The sequence below is a fragment of the Homo sapiens genome, chromosome 13, assembly GCF_000001405.40.
Source record: "Homo sapiens chromosome 13, GRCh38.p14 Primary Assembly".
Lineage (NCBI taxonomy): Eukaryota > Metazoa > Chordata > Mammalia > Primates > Hominidae > Homo > Homo sapiens.
In genome coordinates, this window is record NC_000013.11 from 98,339,952 (window position 1) to 98,364,028 (window position 24,077).

A 24,077-nucleotide genomic window follows, 5' to 3' on the forward strand; every position below is an offset into this window, starting at 1 on the left:
ACTCCATACATTCACAGAAACCGCTGCTGACTCGTTGGAGTACCCAGTGTAGATGTTAACTCTCCCCCTCCCCTCTTCTAAAGCGCTCAGTTTAACACCATGTCCATAAAGACATCCACTGTATATTAGTTTTTTTTTTTTAACTTTTTGAGATTTCTAGTATTGAATTTTTAAGTCTCATTTCCCAGACTCTGTAAATCTAGATGAAGTTATCAAATTCCCTTAGTTCCCAGAACTCTTTGGGAAATGTGAGTGCTTGCCAGCTGGTCAGATAATTGGTGGTTTATTTTCATCACAGATAGGAAATGTTAAGAGTTATGAGAAAGAAGGTTCTGAAACTGGAATGTGTTCTTCCTTTAAAAGAAAATCTTACAGTATGGGAATTCTTCCACAAGTTCTTATCCTTTGGTCCATTTTTATAATGTTCTATTTTTCCAGGCTGGAGTGCAGTGGTGTGATCTCGGCTCACTGCAACCTCCGCCTCCCAGGTTCAAGCAATTTTCCTGCCTCAGCCTCCTGAGTAGCTGGGATTACAGGAGCGGGCCACCACACCCGGGTAATTTTTGTATTTGTAGTAGAGATGGGGTTTCACCATGTTGGCCAGGCTGGTCTCGGAACTCCTGACCTCAAATCATCCACCCGCCTCGGCCTCCCAAAGTGCTGGGATTACAAGCGTGAGCCACCATGCCCGGCCTATAATGTTCTTATTAATGTCTGCAGATTTTATTGGAGTGAGAGGTGGACCCCGAATAAGTTGCTGTGCATAAGTTAACCATGCAGCTCTTGGCAGCTGGTGTGGGGACTCAAACCCAGGATTAGGGACTGGAATGGAGCAGCTCATTGCTCCCTACATTAACCGACCTGGGAAATGCTTGTCTGACCCTGTGTGTCGGAAACAGGGCACATTGCTGTAGCAAAGTGGTGAAGATAAGATTGGTGATCAGTGTTCCACTCTGCTCTCCTGACCCATTTCCTCTGGATAAGCATGCCTGGAGAAGAGGAGAGCTTGGCAGGGAAGAATGGGGGTTCCACGCAGTCACATGTGACTCCTGACATTCCTGCAGGTGATGTGACTCTGCCACTGTCAGGCATTTAAGATCTAGAGCCTGGAGAGTTTGGGGATCATCTGTGCAGAATGTGTATCTTCTGGATTGCAGTGAGGGCGAATGTGGGGGTGTAAAGCGGCATCTGTTAAAAAAAAAAAAGTACTTAATGTTGAGCATCAAGCAGCATCTTTCTTGGCTCCTCTGTTTCATGCTGGTACAGGCTCATGGACATGTCCATCCGTGTACTTGGCGGGCTTTGACTCCTGCTGTCACTCAGTCTCCAGGGTTACTAATTGGTTCCTAAAATGCTCTGTTCTCAGGGAAGAGGTGAGAAGTATAAAACAAGTAACTGTGGGCTGGGTGCAGTAGCTCACACCTGTAATCCCAGCACTTTGGGAGGCTGAGGCAGGCCGATTACGAGGTCAGGAGTTCGAGACCAGCGTGGTCAACATGGTGAAACCCCGTCTCTACTAAAAATACAAAAATTAGCTGGGCGTGGTGGCGGGCGCCTGTAATCCCAGCTACCTGGGAAGCTGAGGCAGGAGAATCACTTAAACCCAGAAGGCGGAGGTTGCAGTGAGCCAAGATCGTGCCACTGTACTCCAGCCTGGGTGAAAGAGGGAAACTCCGTTTCAAAAAAACAAAAACAAACAACAACAACAACAAAAATAAGTAACTGTGAATGGCAATGTCGTGAAAGCATTTGTCTCCCAAGATTTGATCTATATGGTGGAATTGATCCATTTTACTATCAGTCACTGGGAATGTACATAGTGAAAAGAAATTGAGGCATATGATTCTAAGCTCTTTAGGGTAGAACGTGGGTTCTTATATATAATATTCCCTTTCCCTATAGATCCAGTATGTAGAAAATGCATGAATAGTATTGATTTCAGCAGACATTGATTGATTGCCAGGTGCTGTGCTAGGCAATAAGAATACAAAGATGACCAAGTGGCCTGATACTAACTGGGGACATAGACACATAGGTACTAAACCATCTATAATACAGTGGAATGGATAACTTTTATTGATTTGTTCATTCGTTTCCACAAAATTGGTTGGTCTTTAGGCATTGTGGATACAGGGATGAACAAAATATGGCCTTTCCCTTCAATGTGGGTATAGTCTCGATGAGATACTGCACAGAGTGCTACAGGAATGTAGAGGAGGAAACCATCCATGTCATATTTGTGGACAAGGAGAGAGGCACAGGGACAGGGCTTTGACTGTTACAAAAAAGGCCTGGGGTCATGAGTTGAAAACTTAATGTCCACATAAAACCTGTCCAGAAATATTTATAACACCTGTATTCATAATTGTCAAAACTAGAAGCAACCAAAATGTCCTTCAGTAGGTGAATAAACTGTATTACATCCAGACAGTGGAATATTATTCCACAGTAAAAATAAACAAACTGGCTGGGTACGGTGGCTCGTACCTGTAGTCCCAGCACTTTGGGAGGCTGAGGCAGGTGGATCACCTGAAGTCAGGAGTTCGAGACCAGCCTGACCAACATGGTGAAACCCCATCTCTACTAAAAAATACAAAAATTAGCGGGGCATGGTGGCAGGTGCCTGTAATCCCAGCTACTCGGGAGGCCGAGGTAGGAGAATCACTTGAACCTGGGAGGCGGAGATTGCAGTGAGCTGAGATCGCGCCATTGCACTCCAGCCTGAGTGACAAAAGCAAGACTCTGTTTCAATAAATAAATAAGCTACCAAGTCATAAAAAGACATGGAAGGGGCAGGGCACAGTGGCTCATGCCTGTAATCCCAGCACTTTGGGAGGCTGAGGGAGGTGGATCACCTGAGGTGGGGAGTTTGAGACCAGCTTGACCAACATGGAGAAACCCCATCTCTACTAAAAATATAAAATTAGCTTGGCATGGTGGTACATGCCTGTAATCCCAGCTACTCCAGTGGCTGAGGCAGGAGAATCAGTTGAACCCGGGAGGTGGAGGTTGCAGTGAGCTGAGATCACACCATTGCACTCCAGCCTGGGCAATAAGAGCAAAACTCTGTCTCAAGAAAAAAAAAAAGACACAGAAGGATCTTATATGCATATTACTGAATGAAAGAAGGCAGTCTGCAAAGGCTACGTACTGTATGAGTCCTGTATGAGTCCAGCTAGATGACATTCTGGGAAAGGCAAACTATAGAGACAGTAAGATCAGTGTTCGCCAGGGATTAGGAGGGAGGGAGGGAGGAATAGCTGGAACACAGAGGAGTTTTAGGGTGAAATTCATATGAAGCAGTGAAACTATTCTGTATGATGCTGTAATGCAGACGGGTCACAACACATTTGTCATAGAACTTTACAGCACACGGAGTGAGCCTTGTGTGAGCTATGGAGTGTGAGTGATGATGCTGTGTCAATATTGGCTCCACAACTGTAGCAAATCTCTACCACCAAGGTTAATAACGGGACACTGTGTAGCGCGAAGAAGTTTTTGCTCAACTTTTTGTAAACCTAAAACTACTCTAAAAAAATAGTCGATTAATTGAATAAGGTGGGAGGAGTGATGCCTGGCGTTGGAGTGGGAAGAAAATGCTAAGAGATTTGCATCCAATTTTGGGAACAGCAGGTGCTGGGATACGGAGGTGTAGATGGGGCTGGCGTTCAGGGTGTCACGGAGGTGGGCGGTGGCAAGCTCTGAAGGACCTGCAGACTTAGGAATCCAGAGGTTTCCTGCAGCGAGGAGCTGTGGTTTGTTTTCATCCGTGCCTGCCTCAGGGATAACCCCTGTTGTTTCTGCTCACAGCAAAGAGCTCCTGGGAAGGTGCTGCTGGATGCAGTTTGCAACCACCTCAACCTCGTGGAAGGTGACTATTTTGGCCTCGAGTTTCCTGATCACAAAAAGATCACGGTAGGTGATGTCAACTTAATGTTACTATTTTACTGTCTGTTCATCTTGGTGGGGGGCTGGGCAGGGGCCAGTCTAAATGATTGTGAGTGAGATATTTTCATGCTGTCTGTTTTGTCTGTGAAGTCTTCAAATCTGGTGTGTATTTGACACCTCAGTACCTCTTGGTTTAGACTAGCCATGTTTCAAGTGCTCAGTCATCACATGTGGCCAAGGGCTATGTATCGGCCCTCACAGTTCTATACCCAAACTAATATGTTTGAGAAGCTGTTAATGCATTTAAAAGAGAGTGTGATATGATCTGATTTCTGGTTTAGAAAGAGAACTGTAGGCAGATTGGAATAGGACCAGACTGGAGTCAAGAAAGCCATCAGGATCTAGCGATGAGTCTGGTTGGAGATGGTGCTGGCTAGAACTAAGGGAGAGTAGAGGGGCTGGCAGGAGCTGGATGGATTCCAGAGGTGGGGTTGGGGGCAGTAGGAGAGGATGTGATTGAATGAATACCCCTGTGGAGGAGAGGGCTTGGAGTGGCTCAGTTTTCCAGCTTTGCCATCTGGGTGGACAGTAGTGCCCATCCCTGGGGAAGACCATGCCCGGGGGTGAAGATGAGTCCCATTCCAGCTTGAGGAGGCAGGGGCATCCGTGGCATTCAGTGGAGACATCCAGCAGGCAGTGCCAGAAGGTGTATTTCCTGGAGCACGGGAAAGAGATCTGGGTGGAAATTTGGATTCAAGAATCTTGTGATTATTATGAATGTCTGTCGAAGCTCTGAAACGGGATGAGAACATTCATTGTGAAGAGAAGGTGGCCACAGGTGGGACGGCAGCATCTACGGGAAGAGCCGTCAGAGGCAGTGCAGATCGAGCCTGGCTCTGAGCAGAGCAGGTGGTGAATGAACGGATCTGTCATGGGCCTAAAAATGAGAACAAGTTGTGTTTTCTCAATTTATTCCCACCTCCAAACACTCTGTCGTTTTCTAGTTTGTACTTCAAATCCAAGATTCCCTGACTCCCAGCCCTTTTTACAGTGTGGCATATGACCACAGACCTGCCAAATCTCATTCTGCCTTCTCCTATTCAGCTAACAATTATTTTGTGCCTACACTGTGTCTGGCATCAGACTTCACATGAAAGGTGAGATAAAGTGACAGCTAGCAAGAAGTAGTTACGGTTTCCATTCACTAGGCACACACAGCTTCTGAAGAGAGTCCAGGAAACAATTAGAGTGTAGCAAGTTATGCGGAATATTGTTTCATGCTCTTATTTCATGGTAAAATAATGATTCTCAAAACACCTGAAGATACCGTTATCTCATTATTTCTAACAACCCCGTTCTGTGCCTGCCTGAATTCCTTTAAGCTCCTGATGGCTTTCCTGACTCCAGTCTTGCCCAATTCCAGTCCTGCAGGAGCTGTTTGTCTAAACCAGAAATCGGCAGCAGTGTTTGGGCTTCACAGCTGAGGGCGCTAAGATTCTAAGAATTTCCCCATGTCTGAATCTACCAGTTAGCTAATGGCACAGCTAAGATTCTGTGTTCTTCTGACTCCAAGTTCAGCGTCTCTTCTGTTAACCATAGGTGCTTCTCTTTTGCTAGAATTTGTAAGCCTATTGTTCTTTCTAGGTACCGGGCAGGGCTGACTTCTTTCAAGTTGTTACCAGGCTTGACTTTTATGATTTCACTCCATTCTTACACTATTGTTTAGGAATGTATTCAACTGCAAAATAAAACCCACCGTTGATGACTTAAATAAGTAAGTGTTTGTCACATGTCACACAAAAGCCGCCCCATGAGTGCTTCCTATGTGCTGGAGTGTTCTAGTCCCTATGGGTACAGCAGCACGCATGACCCACGTTCTACAGCAGGGGTCACACCTTCTTTGTAAAGGGCCAGAGAGTACTGTAGGCCTTATAGGCCATGCAGTCTCTGCTGCAACTATTTGAATCTCCCCTTATCATGCAAAAGCAGCCACAGATAATATGTGAATGAATACATGTGTTTGTTCCAGCAGAACTTCATATAACAGGAAGCCATAGTCGGCCAACGCATGCTCTAGAGAGTGATAACTGCCAGGCACCGTGCTAGGTTCACATATAGTGTTTCATTTATTCCTGCAACGGTGCATTATAGCCCCTTTTTCTGATGAGGAAGTTAAGCCTTAAAGAGGTTAAGTTGTTCACCCAAAGGCACACAGCAAAGAAATGGGATTGAAGCTCGGATCTGTAGAAGTGCCTTCCCTCAGTCATCATCTTGTTCTGACCATATCACTAAACTGACTTGACTCTCTGTTAATTACTGAATTCCAGCCTGAGCTAATTGCATATAATTTTTTTTTTTTTTTTTTTTTGAGAAGGTGTCTTTCTCTGTCGCCCAGGCAGGAGTGCAGTGGTGCGAGCTTGGCTGACTGCAACCTCTGCCTTCTGGGTTCAAGCAATTCTCCTGCCTCAGCCTCCTGAGTAGCTGGGATTACAGGTGCCCACCATCACGCCCGGCTAATTTTTGTATTTTTAGTAGAGATGGGGTTTCACCATGTTGGCCAGACTGGTCTCGAACTCCTGACCTCAGGTGATCCGCCCGCCTCAATTTTTAAAAGTTCTTTTGAGGCCGGGTGTGGTGGCTCATGCCTGTAATCCCAGCACTTTGGGAGGCTCAGGCAGGAGGATCACTTAAGGTCAGGAGTTTGATACCAGCCTGGCCAACATAGTGAAACCCCATCTCTACTAAAAATACAAAAACTAGCTGGGTGTGGTGGCGCACGCCTGTAGTCCCAGTGACTCAGGAAGCTGAGGCAGGAGAATTGTCTGGACCCAGGAGGCAGAGGTTGCAGTGAGCTGAGATCGTTCCACTGCACTCCAGTTTGGGTGACAGAGTGAGATTCCATCTCAAAAAAAAAGTTCTTTTGATAGAATGGATCTGTGGTAATTGAGGGGATGCCGTAAATGACTGGAGGAGTTATAGGGATTGCTGCCAGGGTCTTGGGTGTGTTCTCTCTCTTGATCTGGATGCTGGTTCCGTGGATACAATCAGTTTGTAAAAATCCAGTGAGTTCTGCCTTACAACATGTGACATCGATAACTTCAATAATAGTTACAGATGCAAATGCAATGAAAGTTCCAAAATGCAATGAAAGCACACAGTAGCAGAAATGATGACCAAAAGGTCATCAGACAGAGTCTATTTTGGAAGTGCCACAGGCCAGTCTTGCTTGTATGAACTGAGGAAGAGCATCTCACCTTGTGAGAATCGTAAGCACCAGCTGGATTTTCCCCTCTGCCCCAGACACAGTTGCTTGACAATGTCTCTTAGCGTGCAACCCAGTGTCTGGGATCCATTGAAGTGTTCCAAAAGCATTATTTATGGAAACTTGTTACCATCGTCATCTTCGTAGTTATTATTTTTTTAATTGTGGTCAAAAACAAGTAACACATTTGTAACCATTTGTAAGTGTGTAGTTCAGAAGTGTTAACTACATGTACTTTGTCGTAGAGCAGATCTCTAGAATTTTTTTATCTTGTGAAGTGGAAACTCTACACCCACTGAAGAACTCCCCAGTTCCCCTTCCCCAGCCCCTGTTCTACTTTCTGTTACTGAGTCTATCTACTTTAGACACGTCATCAAGTAAGTGGAATCGTGTGGTCTTTGTCTTTTCGTGACTGGCTTATCTCACTCAGCATAATGTTCATCTGTGCAGTGGCATACAACAAGCTTTCCCTCCATTTTAAGGCCAAATACCATTTCCATTGTGTATATTCACCACGTCTCCAGTATCCATTCCTCCATGGATGGACACTTACATTGCCGTCACCTCTTGGCCATTGTGAGCCATGCTGCAATGAACGTGGGTGTGCCATCACTATTATTTTTTAATATCACCATCGTGACTGTCACCTCTGCCAGTCTTCATTTGGGAGACTGTGCACCTGTCTTCCAACCTGAGAAAAAGCATGGTTGGTTTCAAAATGCCCAATCATAGGGCTGTAACAACTGGGTTCACCCCATTTCTCTGTGTGTGATGTGTGGGAAACTAGTTTCCCCCAAGCACCTGGCATGTCAGGTTGTGAATCCTTGTCTCTAGGCAATAAGTTGTTGAATTTAGGCAGCTTGAATTTCTGCCCAGCCTTCTGTCTTTCTTCTCATCATTTCTGTCTTATAAATACCCAAGTCAGAGCCTTATTCATAGTAAGGATGTGAAGGAGTTTAAGGGGAAAATAAGGGTTTTTCATAGTCTAAGACGTGTTTCTCAAGATTGTAAATAAACTACTGATCATTATGAAATAATTATGTTCTACCCTTAATTAGACTTGTCCCAAGGCTTGTCAATTAAAAGAGTTGATTGCAGTGTTGACACGCAAGCTTGGCCTGCTCTTGCCCTTGGCTCTTGTCCTGCTCTTGCTCTTGTCCAGCACTGTCCCTAAAGGATCACTCCACAACAGAAGTGTTTTAATCAGCTGTTTAAAAGTATAGATTGAGCTTTCCATGGCAGAAACACTACTGATCATGGGAATCAAGACCCCGTGCTTATTACGGCTGCTAATTGGTACATAGAGTCTGAAGGCTGGGAAAGGGCCAGAAAGCCATTAGATGGCCATGGGGGCGAGTTCCGGGAGCTGGCCAGGGGACTCCCTCGAAACGGACTTTGCAGGATTCTTGCTAAAACTGGACACGGAAGCCTGAGGCTGAGGCCTCATGGAGAAGAGGAGCCTGGCTGAAGTTCAGGCCTGGTGAGAGGCTTTGTTACACTCAACTCTGTCTTCACAGAGCAGAAGCATCCGTAGACGATGTGAAATGAATGGATGTGGCTGTGTTCCAATACAGCTTTATTTATGGGCACAGAGATTTGGCTTTTATATAGTTTTCACATATCACGAAATGTGATTCTTTTGATTTTTTTTTTAACCACTGAAAAATGTAAAAGCCAATCTCTGCTTCGGACCTGTGCCAGAACAGGGAGTAGCCTGGCCGTATTTGGCCCATGTGCCGTAGTTTGCCAATCTCTGTGGTAGGTATTCTATAACCCAAATTTTACAGTGAGCAAATCCAGAGAAGTAACGTGCCCAGTCCTTAACAATGAAATGTGTAACCAGGATCCACACAGAGCCTCTCTTAGCTAAAGCTCATGTTCTGTATGTCGCATGTGGCTGCCTGTCCTTGGATCTCCCGTCGGAAAGAGCTGCACAAACCGTAACAGCAGAGATAGTTGTATACGGAAAATTTATCTCATTGGCCTATTGAGGCTAGCTGGAAAAGCTCTGCATTGTGGCTTGCATATCTGTTTAAACATTCGCTTTGTCATTTAGCTGCTAGGTTGATTCTTAACTTCCTTGATTTTGCACTTCATCTGAGAAATGAGAGGAATAAATGACCATTTTACAAGGTTATTATGAGGGCTAATCAGATACTTTACAATGATGAGCCCAGCAGGTCTCATGGCACATAGTAGGCACTCAGATATCTGTTGTATTTCATTTTTGCAATCTAACTCAGAAACCAGTGAAGCCAGCCCACCACTGTTTTATTAAAATGACATTGTGGCTGGGTGGGTGGCTCATGCCTGTAATCCCAGCACTTTGGGAGGCCGAGGCAGGCAGATCACTTGAGGTCAGGTGATTGACACCAGCCTGGCCAACATGGTGAAACCCCATCTCTACTAAAAATACAAAAATTAGCCCGTTTGGTGGCACGCGTCTATATTCGCAGTTACTTGAGAGGCTGTGGCAGGAGAATCACTTGAACCCAGGAGGCGGAGGATGCAGTGAGCCGAGATCGCACCACTGCACTCAAGCTTGGCGACAGAGCAAGACCCATCTCAGGGAAAAAAAAAAAAAAAAAAAAAAAAAAAAAAGACAATGCTTACTGGCCTGATAAAATCAATTCTGGTTTCTTATAAATAAATACTGTCGAAGCTCCAGGAAGAAGATTGGCACCTTGTCATTCATTTTCTGTCCTCCATGCTAGGAGAAAAGCTTTGTCAATAGTGGGACTGCTTTTGAGGGGCAGGAGGTCATGGAAACTGCAGTTCCCGGGGATGACGGGCATCCCTTGCTGGAGGTTTCTAGACCCTGCTGGAGTCAGACACACCTCCTTCATCTGTGCTTAGCCGCAGCGTCTGCCCTCGCTTCTTCCTAGGGGTCTGAGGACCTCTGAGGTGAGGAGGAGCTTTTTGAGGAACATGGGAGGTGTAAAGGATGGAGAATGTCACAGGATCGAGGACAGCCTGCAGCTGTGGGAAGCCAGCAGAGGTGAGGTTGTACAGCGGCTCGGTCACCTCGCGGGGCAGCACCATCTAATGGTGACTGTGTTGACAGGCAGGTCCCCAGAGGAGGCAAAGCTCCCCTCAAGCAGAGAGTCTGGGAGGACAGGCCCTTTGGAAAATACAGCTGTGGGAGATGCTCCAGCTCTCAAGTGGGAAGGAGAATAACTGATTTTGGGGCTTTTAGTGTTTTGTTTGTTTAATTAATAGATTTAATATTTGTATTGCAGTTTTAAGTTGACAACAAAATTGAGCCAGAAGTACAGAGGTTCCTATATACTGTTCCCGCTCTGTCCGTACTTACAGTGTCCCCCGTTACTGACACTGTGCCTTCGTGTGGCATGTGTGTCCTCGCTGATGGGCCAGTGTCAATCCATTATCATTCATTCACTGCGGTCCAAACTTGACATTAGGCTTCACTCTTGCTGTTGAACATTCTGTGGGTTTTGACACATGTTTCTGGACTTGCATCTACCACAACAGTATTACACAGAGTTGTGTTACCGCCCTGATCCTTCCCTGTGCTCCTCCAGTTCCTCCCTCTCTCCTCGTGAGCACCTGGCAACCCCTGATCTTTTCCCTCTGTACTTTTTAATTTTCTGTACTCTCTGACACCTGAGGCCTTGTTGACTGGGGAGCTACTTCCCCTCCCCGGGCTAGCCAATTCTTAGAGATGGCAAATGGCTCCCTGTGAGTGTACCCTTTATTTGCCAATTAACCAATCCAGAGGCCTATCCAGCCACCTCCTTCCTGCTGGTTCTGACACTCCAGGAGGCAACAGTCACCTTCAGGGCCAGGTACCCACAACCAGAGCCAACCACACCCCAGAGCCCACGGAAATGATGCAGATGAGCCAGTGCTAAACCTGCTTACCCTGCCCAGCCTCGCCTCCCCTGCCCAGCCTCGCCTCCCCTGCCCAGCCTCGCCTCCCCTGCCCAGCCTCGCCTCCCCTGCCCAGCCTCGCCTCCCCACAGAAGCGATCCTGCCCTTGTTCCCCCTCCCCCTCTCCCTCTGCCTCCAGCCCAGCCCTGGTACTTCCTTGTGGAGTGGTGGGCCCCCTCCTCTTGGGAACTGTGAGTAATAAACCCTCTTCTGAATGGCAGTGGCCTGCTGAGCTGTTGGCCGTATCATACCTGAATAAGAAATGTGCTTGTGTTAGGCCATTTGTGTTGCTATAAGTAAATACCTGAGGCTGGGTAATTTATAAAGAAAAGAGGTTTGGCCGGGCGCGGTGGCTCACGCCTGTAATCCCAGCACTTTGCGAGGCCGAGGCAGGCAGATCACAAGGTCAGGAGATCAAGACCATCCTGGCTAACAGGGTGAAACCCCGTCTCTACTAAAAATACGAAAAATTAGCTGGGCGTGGTGGCAGGCGCCTGTAGTGCCAGCTACTTGGGAGGCTGAGGCAGGAGAATGGCGTGAACCCGGGAGGCGGAGCTCGCAGTGAGCTGAGATCACGCCACTGCTCTCCAGCCTGGGCAACAAAGCAAGACTCCATCTAAAAAAAAAAAAAAAAGAAAGAAAAAAAGAAAAGAGGTTTAATTGGCTCATGGTTCTGTAGGCTCTATAAGCATGGTGAGGCCTCAGGAAGTTTTTACTCATGGCAGAAGGTGAAGTAGGAACAGGCGTGTCATGCTGCAAGAGAGAGAGCAATTGGGGGTGGGGAGGCACCACACACAAACAGCCGGATCGCCCATGGACTCTGCGTGGAAACATGCTTATTACCCAAGGAGCTGGTGCCAAACCACTCATGAGGGACCCGTCCCCGTGAACCAGTCGCCTCCCGCCAGGACCCACCCCCAACACTGGGAATCACATTTCAACAAGATTTGGAAGGGACAAATACCCAAACCATATCAGTGGTTAAAGAAAAAATACATAGAAATAATATGTTTCAAAATGGATATGCAGTTCTAAGAAGGTGGTGGTGGTGGTGGAAGCATAGTTTTTAGATCTTCTCAAACCCAAGGCCGTACATAAAGACAGCTACTTAGCAAAATCAAAAACCCACAGACAACATCTGTGGCAAAACTAGATGCCATAGTAAGTCCTAGATCCCAAAGAACAAGCAGCTGGAGACAGAACATCAGCCAGCCCCAAGGCCTGCACGCCATCGGTGTGTGTTTAGGAAGAAATGAGGAAACAATAGGGCGTCTGATGGGTGGCAGAAGAGAACCCTCAAATTGCCACTGGAAATCACAGGGAAATGGTTTGAGAAGAGCAGCTGAAATGGGTAAGGCCTAACAGGGCTGGAGCAGCTGTGCTCCAGTGACCAGTAACTGCCCCTTGAGACGGGCCATCACTCAAGAGAGACTACTGAGAGGGGAGCCCATATGGAACTGAGTTGGGACAACAGAGAGAAATGACAGAGAAGGGGAGGGCAATCGAGCCAGGGAACTTGAGAAAGCACGCTTCCATATCCTTCAACACTGTACAGAAACAATAGACAAGGAAGCTCTGGGAGCTTTGAAAAGCTACTCTGAACCATGACTTTAAACAGGTTAGGAAACAATTTTCACATAAAAATGAGTAACAAAAATGTATCAAGGTCATAATGATATTTAAAAAACAGAGACTTCAATGTGTTCTTCCTGAGACACCACGTTTGGCCTTGCCAAAGGATTCAGGTGGATCCAGCTGCCAAATTGTAGAAACTACAGGGAAGATGATCATGTTGAATAGTACTGTGAGTGTGCAGTCAGCAAAATCCAAACTCCAGGAAACCCTACAAGTCAACAGTGAGGAAAAGAAAGAGATGGAAGAGGAAGCTATAGATTAAACAATATAAACTCCTGCCCTCTACAAGTAACCTCCATGCAGAGTTTCAGAGTAACTGCATATGTTTGTAATGTTTTATTTCACCACATCGTGCATCTTTATACACCAGAGTTTAGTCTTAAGACTATAAAGACTAAGCAATTTGGGGGTGGGGGCACCACACACTTTTAACCAGATCTCCCATGAACTCTGAGTGAAAACATATTTATTACCCAAGGGGATGGTGCGAAGCCATTCATGAGTCTCAAGGCTAGAGTGGTTTAGTCTTAAGACTAAACTCTGGCGTATAAAGATGCACCATGTGGCAAAATAACACATTACAGACTTATGCAGTTACGATGAAACTCTGCATAGTGGTTACCTGTAGAGGGCGGGAGTTCAGTTTGGAAGGAGTTGACCAGCAGAGTTTGATTTCTTGACTTGGTTGATAGATACAAGGGTGTTTACCATCTAATAATTCACTAAGCTGTACATTTGCTTTGTGCAGTATTATTATTATTACTTTTTGAAACAGAGTTTCACTCTTGTTGCCCAGGCTGGAGTGGAATGGTGCAATCTCGGCTCACTGCAACCTCCGCCTCCCAGGTTCAAGTGATCCTCCTGTCTCAGCCTCCCGAGTAGCTAGGATCACAGGCATGTGCAACCATGCCCAGCTAATTTTGTATTTTTAGTAGAGATGGGGTTTCTCCATGTTGGTCAGGCTGGTCTCGAACTCCTGACCTCAGGTGATCCACCTGCCTCGGCCTCCCAAAGTGCTAGGATTATAGGCATGAGCCACCACACCCGGCCTGCTTTTTGTAGTTTTAAGCATCTGTTTATTTTAATATTAAATATTTTTTAAAGGTTGAAAAGGAAAAAGGTATACAGCAGAATAAGCAAATGATAGTTTAAAGGGTTGTATAGCATTTTATCTATAGTTAACACTGTGTTGCATGCTTAAAATTTTGAGAGGGTAGATCTCATGTTAACTCTTCTTACCACAATTTTTAAGAGTTCAATTAACCATAACACCCATGTGAAATCTTTTGAAATGAGTCATTCGAAGCTAATGAAAATTAAACAAATGATTTAAAAATAGTTTAAACTGAGTAATTGATGTTTTGCAAGGACCATGCCTGAGGTCTGCTGAATCCTGGTTAAGAAGTAAAGATTGTAGATATTAAAGCTTCCCTCCAAGTCCAGGCTCCCTGAAACCCCACACATTGCATTGTAATATTGTCTTGGTTTGATTCCAAAGCTTCCCTTCACATATATCTCTAATACCAACTCCTACTTAATGAGTTCAGTACACAAGTGCATAGGGATAGCCTGTACTACATTTGATTTTGTAGTTTGGTTTGCAGATCTGTCTTTAATTTCTTTTTCATTTAAAGCTTTTTTGGTAAATACGTAAAACCATATTCTACGATTTTCAGTTCAAATTTTATTAAACACAGATTCCCTTCACCAGATTAGTGTTGTCAAAAAGGGAAGGTAGGGAGAGGTAGTAGGATAGATGAAAAGAGACTTAGAGGACATAACCAGATATGAAACATGGTCTTGGTTTGGACGTTAGTTTTGACAGATCACCAATAAGGACGTTCTTTAGTTAATTGGAGGAATTTGAATATTGCCTGAGTATTTGATGAGAGGAAAGTTTACAAAATGGAGAGGTACAAATCTTTGAAAAAAGAAGTAGCTGATAAAACAATTTTGAAAAGAGTCTGGTAGGATTCTTATTAAACTAAATATACACTAATTTTTTTGACACAGCAGTTCTACTCCTAAGTATTTACGTAAGAGAAATGAAAGCTTATGTCCATAAAAATAAGTATAAAAATATTCTTTGCAGTTTTATTCATAACTCCAAACTGGAAATCGCACATGTGCCATCAAGAGAAGAATTGTTAAACAGACTATGGTATACTACATTATGTAGAGGGAAAGAAGTCTTAGACAAAATTATATTTTCATTTATCCAAAGTTCTTAAGCTTTAGGTAATAAGCACTTGAAACATAGCTAGTGCAAATTGAAATGTAATCTAAGTATGAAATAGGTGTGGAATTCCAAAGAGTAGCAAAGAAAGCAAAATATCTCATTAATCATGTTTTTATACTGATTACATATTTAATTGGTAATATTCTGCACAGATGGGGTTAGATAAAATATGAAACCATTTTTAAAATTTTATTTTGGTGACCAGGCAAGATGTCTCATGCCTGTAATCCTAGCGCTTTGGGTGGCTGAGGCATGTGGATCACTTGAGCTCAGGAGTGTAAGACCAGCCTGAGAAACATGGTGAAACCCCTCTACAAAAAATACAAAAACTAGCCAGGCATGGTGGCTCACACCTGTAGTCCTAGCTACTTGAGGGGGCTGAGGCAAGAGGATCACTTGAACCCAGAAGGTAGAGGTTTCATTGAGCCAAGATCGAGCCACTGTACTCCAGCCTGGGTGACAGAATAAGACCCTGTCTCAAAAAAATAAAAAATCTCATTTTGGTTTTTAAAAAGTATATGAATGTTTATATTCATACACATCACATATAATGAGAGATATGGAAATGTATGTACTAAGGCAGTGGTTCTTAAAGCATGGTCCACAGACCAACAAGCAGCATCCACATCACCTGAGAACTGGCTAGGAATGCACATTCTCAGGGCCGCATCCCAGATTAGGAACTCTGGGAACAGGGCCCAGTGGTGTACGTTTCAACAAGCCCTTACTTAGGGCAATTTTAATACATGCTCAACTTTGAGAACCACTTCCCTAAAGTGTTAATGATGATCTCCTAATGGTGAAAAACATATTTTTAAAAATTTTCCGTATTTGAATTATCTAATTTTCTAGATTACATATGTTTAAATTGTAATAGATTATTTTTAAAATTAATAGGGTTTTTTTGTGGCATCCCACAAAGGTTGATTTCTTTGTGGCATCCACAAATTGTGTTTTCATTTTCAATACTTTCCCATTTCCCCTTGGTTTCTTCTTTATTTAAAAGTATGGTATTTCATTTCTAAATCTATGGGAGATTTTTCACAAATTCTTCAATTGTTGCTTTATTATTGAATTCCATAGTGGTCAGAAATCATAGTTCATATGACATGAAGCTTTTAAAGTAATTTACTGATACTTGTTTTATGGTCCCGAATATGTCTTATGTTGGCAAGTGTTTTACATGCACTTGGAAAAGACTGTATGTTCTGTGTTGGGTAGGATATTCAATATATTTCAATGAGGTTACGTTGTTCAAATCTATTATTTATTTTCTGCCTACATACTAATATTGAGAAATAAATATTAAAAATCTCTGTAATTATAATTGTTGATTTTTCTACAGTCATGCGTCACTTAACGATGGCTATATGTTCTGAGAAATGTGTTTTTAGGCAATTTCATTGTGCGGACATCACAGAGTGTACTTACACAAACAGGTGGTGTAAGTACGGTTGTCTCTATAGCATATTACTGAACTGAATACAATAGGCAATTATAATGGTAAGTATTTGTGTTTCTAAACTAAAAAAGGTACAGTAAAAAATACAGGATTATGATATATACCACTGACGTATTATGCGCCTGTTCTTGACTGAAATGTCACTATGCGGTGCATGACTGTTTCTCCTTGCAGTCTCATCAGTTTCCTAATCATGTATTTTAAAATTGTTATTAAGTGTATAAATATTTAAGATTGTTTCGTGCTCTTGACTAAGTGACTCCATTATCATTAAGAAATTACCCTTTTAAAATTTTATTTATTTATTTATTTATTTATTTATTTATTTTTGAGACAGCCTCGCTCTGTTGCCCAGGCTAGAGTGTAGTGGCACAATCTCAGCTCACTGCAACCTCTGCCTTCCAGGTTCCAGTGATTCTCCTGCCTCAGCCTCCTAACTGGGACTATAGGTGCCCGCCACCACGCCCGGCTAATTTTTGTATTTTTAGTAGAGACAGAGTTTCACCATGTTGGCCAGGCTGGTCGCGAACTCCTGACCTCAGGTAATCCACCTGCCTCAGCCTCCCAAAGTGCTGGGATTAGGCATGAGCCACTGAGCCCGGCCAAGAAATTACCCTTTTTTAAATCCCCAGCAATATTCTTTATTCTGACATCTGCATTGCCCAACACTAATATAGCCACTTCAGTTTTTAAATTATTATTTTTTAGTATGGTGTACTTTCACCCTTTTTTGTTTAACTTATTTGTGTCTTTACATTAGCAGTGTATTTTTGTAGGCAGCATATACTTGCTTTTTTCTTTTTTAATCCAGACTAACAATCCTTGCCTTTTAATGGGGGGTGGAGGGGTTAGACCATTTACATTTAATGTGATTATTGATATAGTTTAAATTGAACACCTTGCTGTTTGTTTTCTTTTTGTCTAGCCATCATCTTTTGTTCCTTTTATCTGCCTTCCTTTCAATTGAAATTTTTTGATGACTTCATTTTATATCCTTTGTTGTTATCCTTCCTTTTGCTTATAGTAGCAGTTTTCTGAGAATGTATTGACAATGGTGAGGACTTACTGTACATTAGGCTGCTTAAAGTGTTCTACAGTTTTGTTGCTTTTTAAATTTTGTGTGTGTTTCATTTTGGATTATTTCTATTGTTAGGTCTTCAAGTTTAGTAATATTTTCTTCGGGAATGCTGATCTGCTGTTACAGTCATCCAGAGAGCATAACATTTTATATCTCACAGTATAGTTTTCACTGTAGAAGTTTAGCTTGGATCTTTTTTTATATCTTCCATATCTCAACTTTTCAAACATATGGAATATAGTTAGAATAATTATTTTCATGTCCTTCTCTATGGAGTCTGTCATTCGTGTGAGTTCTAGGTTAGTTTTTACTGATTTTTGTTGTTTCCTTGTGGGTCACATTTTCCTGCTTCTTGTACCTGATTTTTAAAAATTGGATGTCACATATGCTGCATACTTCTGTATTACTGTAAGTTTTATTGAATTTGTTCTGGGATATAGTTATTTGGAAGCGATTTGATCCTTTTGGATTTGGTTTTTAAGACTTGTTAGCCTGGACACTGTAGGGCATAGTCTGGGGTGAATTATTCCCGACTACTAAAGCGTGACTCTTCAGCACTCTGCCAAGGCCCCAGGAATCATGAGGTTTTCCAGACTGGCTGATGGGAATAGGTAGTATTCCTGGCCCTGTGAGCACTAGGCACTGTTACCTCTAATACATTTCTGTTTTTTTTTTTTTTTCCTGACCTTGACTACTTCCCACACATTCAAGGATAACCCCCTGTGGCTCTCCTAAGTTTTTTTTGGGTATCTCTCTACTCCCTGGTACTCTGTCCTGTGAACTCGCATCCCTTTGGCCCCCCTGAACTCTCCCCTCCATCTCTTGCACTCATGGATTTGGCCGCATCCTACCTGTGTTCCTCCTTCCTACACCAGAGCCTGGAAACTCACTCAAGGCAGCAGGCTGGGGCGCTCACAGGGATCACATTTTCATTTTCCTGTCTCTTGGAGATCACCGTTTCTCACTGCTTGGTGTACCATGTTTTCAGATCTGTTGTGTTATATATTTTCTCCATTTTTGGAGTTGCTTTGTATAGGAAAATAAATCCAGTCCCTGTTACTCTATTTTGACCGGAAGTGAAAATCTCTAGAAAGTGATAGGTGTTTACAAGAAAGCCACACTTAACATATCTTTTAAATATAACCAAATGTAAAATTAATAAAGTCAAATAATTTTTAAAATTACTTTGAAACAAATTATTACAAAGAATTCAAAGTAAAGTTTTTTTGTTTCTTTCTTTTTCTTTTTTTCTTTTTTCTCACTCTGTCACCCAGGCTGGAGTGCAATGGCGCGATCTTGGCTCACTGTAACCTCCGCCTCGCAGGTTCAAGTGATTCTCCTGCCTCAGCCTCTCGAGTAGTTGGGACTACAGGCACCTGCCACCACGCCCGGCTAATTTTTTTTGTATTTTTTGTAGAGACGGGGTTTCACCATGTTAGCCAGGATGGTCTCGATCTCCTGACCTTGTGATTCGCCTGCCTCAGCCTCCCAAAGTGCTGGAATTACAGACGTGAGGCACCGCGCACGGCTCTTTCTTTTTCTTTTAGGAGTCAACTGCAGAAAGACTAATTTGTTGCAATGAATTCTAGACACTGGATATTTTTCTATGACAAATATTTTCTTGGCTCCTATATGTGTTACAGTTGACAGGTTGTTTTTGTCATATGCTGTTTTGGTAGTTAAGAAGAGAACTGAACTTTTGTTGAGTCCTTTAGCTTTGGAGGGAAGCATATTAGTCTTGGATTCAGCCGGACTTGATGTCAGATTCAAGCTATGTGACATTGAGCAGCTTGAATAAGCCCTCTGAGCTTGCCTTCATTCATGTGTGAAGTGACCACATTGTTTTGAATATTAAATGAGAATGTGTGAAGCACTTACCCACTGCCTGGCACACAGTGGGTGCTCAAGAAATATTAGTCCCTTCCCTGCCCCTGCTCTCATATCAAATAACTGATTATCTTTTAATAAGACCCTTTCCAAAACACCTCAAACATTCCAGTTGCTTATGAAATCCACCTAAAACATCACCCACCAAAATAATAGGGGGAAAAAGGATGTTTTGAGAAAGAGGAGAACAGCTTTGGGGATAGTGATTCAGCTTGCCCTGCCTTTGATACGTTGGCCTTAGTATCTCCTCTCACCTCCGAGTACAGCCACAGGCCACATACTGACCTTGTGGATGACAGACTGCGTGTACGATGGTGGTCCCATGAGACTATAATCCTGGGTCTTCACTGTACCTTTTCTGTGTTTAGATGCACAGGTAGTTGCCAGTGTGTTGGAGTTGGCCTCAGTATTCAGCACAGTAAGCGGTTGTGCAGGTTTGCAGCCTGACAGCAGTAGGCTGTACCTGGCCTTGGTGGGTGGTAGGCTATGCCACCTAGGTGTGTGTAAGTTCACTGTATGATGCTCACACAATGCCAAGGTCACCTAATGATGTGCAAAGCACACATGTGTTCCAAACGGGGAAGGTAGCATTAACAGGGCATCAGAGACAAATCGGATTGGAGGAAAGAAAACAGGGCGCCTGACTGAAATGGAGCAAGATGGGCTCAAAGGCGGTATTGCAGCTGAATTATGGAAGAACAGTGCTACGGGCTGAATTTGTCCCCTCCAAAATTGTGTGTGTTGAAACCCTAACCCTGAATTCCTCAGAATGTGAGTGTATTCAGAGATTGTGTTGCTTTTTTTTTTTTTTTTTTTTTTTTGAGATGGAGTCTCCTCTGTCACACAGGCTGGAGTGCAATGGTGCTGTCTCAAATCACTGCAAGCTCCGCCTCCTGGGTTCAAGCAATTCTCCTGCCTCAGCCTCCCGAGTAGCTGGGATTACAGGCATGCGCCACCACGGCTGGCTAATTTTTATACTTTTAGTAGAGATGGGCTTTCGCCATGTTGGCCAGGCTGGTCTCAAACTCCTGACCTCAGATGATCCACCCACCTTGGCCTCCCAAAGTGCTAGGATTACAGGCGTGAGCGCTCAGCTTAAGTCTCTGAAGAGGTGATTAAGTTAAAGCGAGGCCCTTGGTGTATGTAGGCCCTACTCCTTAAAAGAGGCCACTTGGACAGACACTGGAAATGCTCGCACAGGGGAAAGACCAGGCAAGGATGCATCGAGGTGGCAGCTGTCCAGAAGCCAGGGATGGGGGCTCTAGGAGAACCCACAGCTGCTGGCACCTGCAGCCTCCAGAATGGTGGGGGAATAAACTTCTGTAGTTTAGGCCATCCAGTCTGTGGTACTTCGTTATGGCAGCCTCAGCAAACTAATAAATACAGTAGGCCTTCAAACCCTGGCAGAGGCGCCTGGATTCAGTAAGCAGGTGCATCTTTGAATCCTACTGATGGGCAATGAGATTTCTCTAGAGGTCCATTCATTTCAGCCAGATGCCTTTCCAGTCAGGCCATGTGGATGTGTGAGTGTGTTCAAGAGATCAGCGGCATAGATTTCAGTGAGAACAGGGGCTACGGTTTGGTTGAAGGGGTAGGAGTTTGGGGTTAAAGAGATCATAACAAATGTGACCCTCTAGAGAAAGCTTATGGTGTTTTTGTTACCTTTTAACTCATCGGTAACTGGTTTCTGTGTGCTTAGGATGCGGGAAAAAGTGACTAGCCCAGGATGACCTAGTCCAGCTCCGCTCGCCTCCCTGTGACCCTCGCTGCATAGCAAAGGCCAGTGCTTTCACTGCAGTTGAGTGGCAACCTCTTTTTTCTTTTTGCTGCTCCCAGCTCATCCATTTCTAATGGTTTAAGTCCAGCGTGCCCCAGACCTTCTCCCTCAGCTCTGCAATCTCGCTGGGAAACAGATAGGTCCTCACAGGCCATGCATCCTCACCCAGCCTGGTTGCGTTGGGGTGTGATCGGCTTCTTGCAGTGTTCCCGCTGCGGAGCTGCTGAACACACTGAATTACCCAGGCCCATCTTGTGCTCCCAGCCCCATGTGTTATAAAACCACATGCTCCCTTGGCTCAAATAGGTGCTTGTGTTTGATGCTTTCCACAGAAATGCCAGAAACAGAGGAGAGATGTTTAAAAACAATTCATAAAATAGGCAACTGCACTGCCAAAGTGTCATTGATTCGTCCTGGGGAGTTTGCAGAAGTTTAGGCTGGTTCTGTGGCCACCCTGGCAGTGGCAAGAGAGTTTAGTGGCTGGGACAGCAGGCTCCCAGTGCGCTCTCTGGTTAACTCACCCTCTCAGGCAGCATGACAGTTTGGAAACTTCTCCACTCTCCTGTATCCTCCAGCCCTCTGATTTTACAAGGGAAACAGAAGGCATCAGAGAGGAATTTTCTTGTTTTCCTAACACAGAAAGGTGAACCTCCTTCAATCTGTCATTAGCCTGTCCCTGTCCCTCTCACAGATCGAAGGAGGATGAACCTCCTTTGATCTGTCATTAGCCTGTCCCTATCCCTATCCCTTAGGATGTTGTTTCCATCCTAAGCCAGTGTCCTGGGTTTTAGAGCTCTGTGTTCGCATCATCTCAGGTCTCTTTGGATATCGGTCATCGCCTCTTGCCCCTATTTTTAACCCCTCCCTTTCTTAAATACATGCAGGTCATTCCAGTTAAAAACAAGTAAACGGGTTGGGCAAAGTGGCTCATGCCTATAATCCCAGCACTTTGGGAGGCCGAGGCAGGTGGATTGCTTGAGCCCAGGATTTCGAGACCAGCCTGGGCAACATGGCGAAACACTGTCTCTACAAAAAATATGAAAGTTAGCCAGGCATGGTGGCATGTGCCTGTAGTCCCAGCTACCCGGGAAGCTGAGGTGGGAGGATTGCCTGAGCCTGGGAAGTTGAGGCTGCGCCACTGCACTCCAGCCTGGGTGACAGTGAGACGCTGTCTCAAACAACAACAACAAAACAAGCAAGTGAACAATACCCTTACCTGATTCCCCAGCCAGCTACCCCCCATTCTGTTGCCTCTTGCTTCACAGCCAAGTTTCTTGACGAAGCCATTCATCCTCTTCCCCATGCACCAGACGTTCAGACCCAACCCTGGGTCAAGTGACCTGCTGAATCACTGAGTCAAGGACGGGTGTGAGTTTGAGACAGTTCTCAGTTTCTTCCTTTGCGGACACTGTCATCCCATGATGTCCATGACACAGTTCTCTCCTTCCTTTACTTCACGCCTCCTCTGCTCCTACCTGGCTGTCCATGGTGGACATATTGGCCAACGCTCATGCATTTTAATTCTTTAGACTCTACGCTGGCCGTCTTATCCTCCATGGAGTCAGGGTGGTGGCACCTTCTAAATGTGAGATGTCTTGCCCAGGCTTCTCCTCTGAGCTCCAGATGAATGTGTGTCATTGTTTGTATACTGTCTCTCCCTGTATGATCCAAGGACACCTCAGAAAATTAACTCGGCTGGAACCTCTCAGTCCCAGTCATCCTGCAGTGCTCGCTATCTCTGGAGGTGGCACCAGTGTCTGCCCAGATGCCTGCTGCAGAAATCTCAGTGTTATTCCGGTTATTGTCACCTCCTTCCCTGGGCATCGTATCCATCAGTGCATTCCACTGGTTGTTACGTCTTCAGTTGTTCTTGAATCCACCTACTTTCTCAAACTCTACTTCTGCCATTCTGGTCCAAAATACCGTCCTGTCTTGCCTGGACAATTGCCAACAGCTCAACCTGCATCCATTCTTGCTCCTTCTAACCTGTTCTCACGCTGCCAGACTCATCTTTTAAAAATACAAATCTAATCATGTCCTCCCCATGGGGTAGTTCCTTCCCATTGCTCTTAGGATAAGGACCAAGCGTCTGAATGTGGCCTTGGCGGGGCCAGGCCTCTTCCTGACCCACCAGCCCTGCTCTGCAGCCATGATGATCATCTGGGCATCAGGACTAGGGTTTTTACTGTCTGTTTTCATAGATTCTGCTTGTCTTTCTTCCCTTTGAGATCTTAGCACAGGGTCATTTTCAGGGAAGATTGCTCCCTACCTCTGCCCCTTCCGTGTGTATTGCATATATATAGAATTTTCTGCATATTGTGGTGTTTTGACATCTTAAAAGACCTTTCTGGCTAAGAAGAGACTGCGGCTTCCAGTGCTAGCCAGTCCTTAGAGCTAGCAGGGCCCAGCTGGGGGTACCCACCTTTGATATACAAAGAAACCAACCCAGGGCTGCCTCCTTTATCTGACCTGCCCATCCCTGGGAGCAGTATTCCTCTGCCTGAATCATCTCAGCGCCTGGTAACAGGCAACTCCAGACCGCTCCTATAATTAAGAGATTGCCAAAATTATTCCAACGGGCCAGTCCTAAACTGTGTACCCTGCCTTGCCCTGCCATGGAAATCTCAATAAAGGTCTAGGCTCTCCTGTGACTCCTGTCTTTTGAATTTATTTATTTCTTTCTTTTTTCAAGACAGAGTCTCGCTCTGTCCCCCAGGCTAGAGTGCAGTGGTGCGATCTTGGCTCACTGCAACCTCTGTCTCTTGGGTTCAAGTGATTCTCCTGCCTCAGCCTCCCAAGTAGCTGGGATTACAGGTGCCCGCCACTGTGCCCAGCTAATTTTTATATTTGTAGTACAGATGGGGTTTCACCACGTTGGCTAGGCTGGTCTCGAACTCCTGACCTTGTGATCCACCTGCCTTGGCCTCCCAAAGTGCTGGGATTAGAGGTGTCAGCCAC

At 44.6% G+C, this 24,077-nt stretch overlaps 1 protein-coding gene across 2 annotated transcripts in view; it reads left to right on the top strand.

The window, feature by feature from the left end:
* The window catches only part of FARP1 (FERM, ARH/RhoGEF and pleckstrin domain protein 1), a 312,588-nt gene that overhangs the window by 197,363 nt on the left and 91,148 nt on the right, over positions 1-24,077 (top strand). For both annotated transcript variants that reach the window (NM_001286839.2, NM_005766.4), the window contains exon 3: positions 3,811-3,915. In NM_001286839.2, the coding sequence (NP_001273768.1) occupies positions 3,811-3,915 (105 nt within the window). The remainder of the gene's footprint in view (positions 1-3,810; positions 3,916-24,077) is intronic.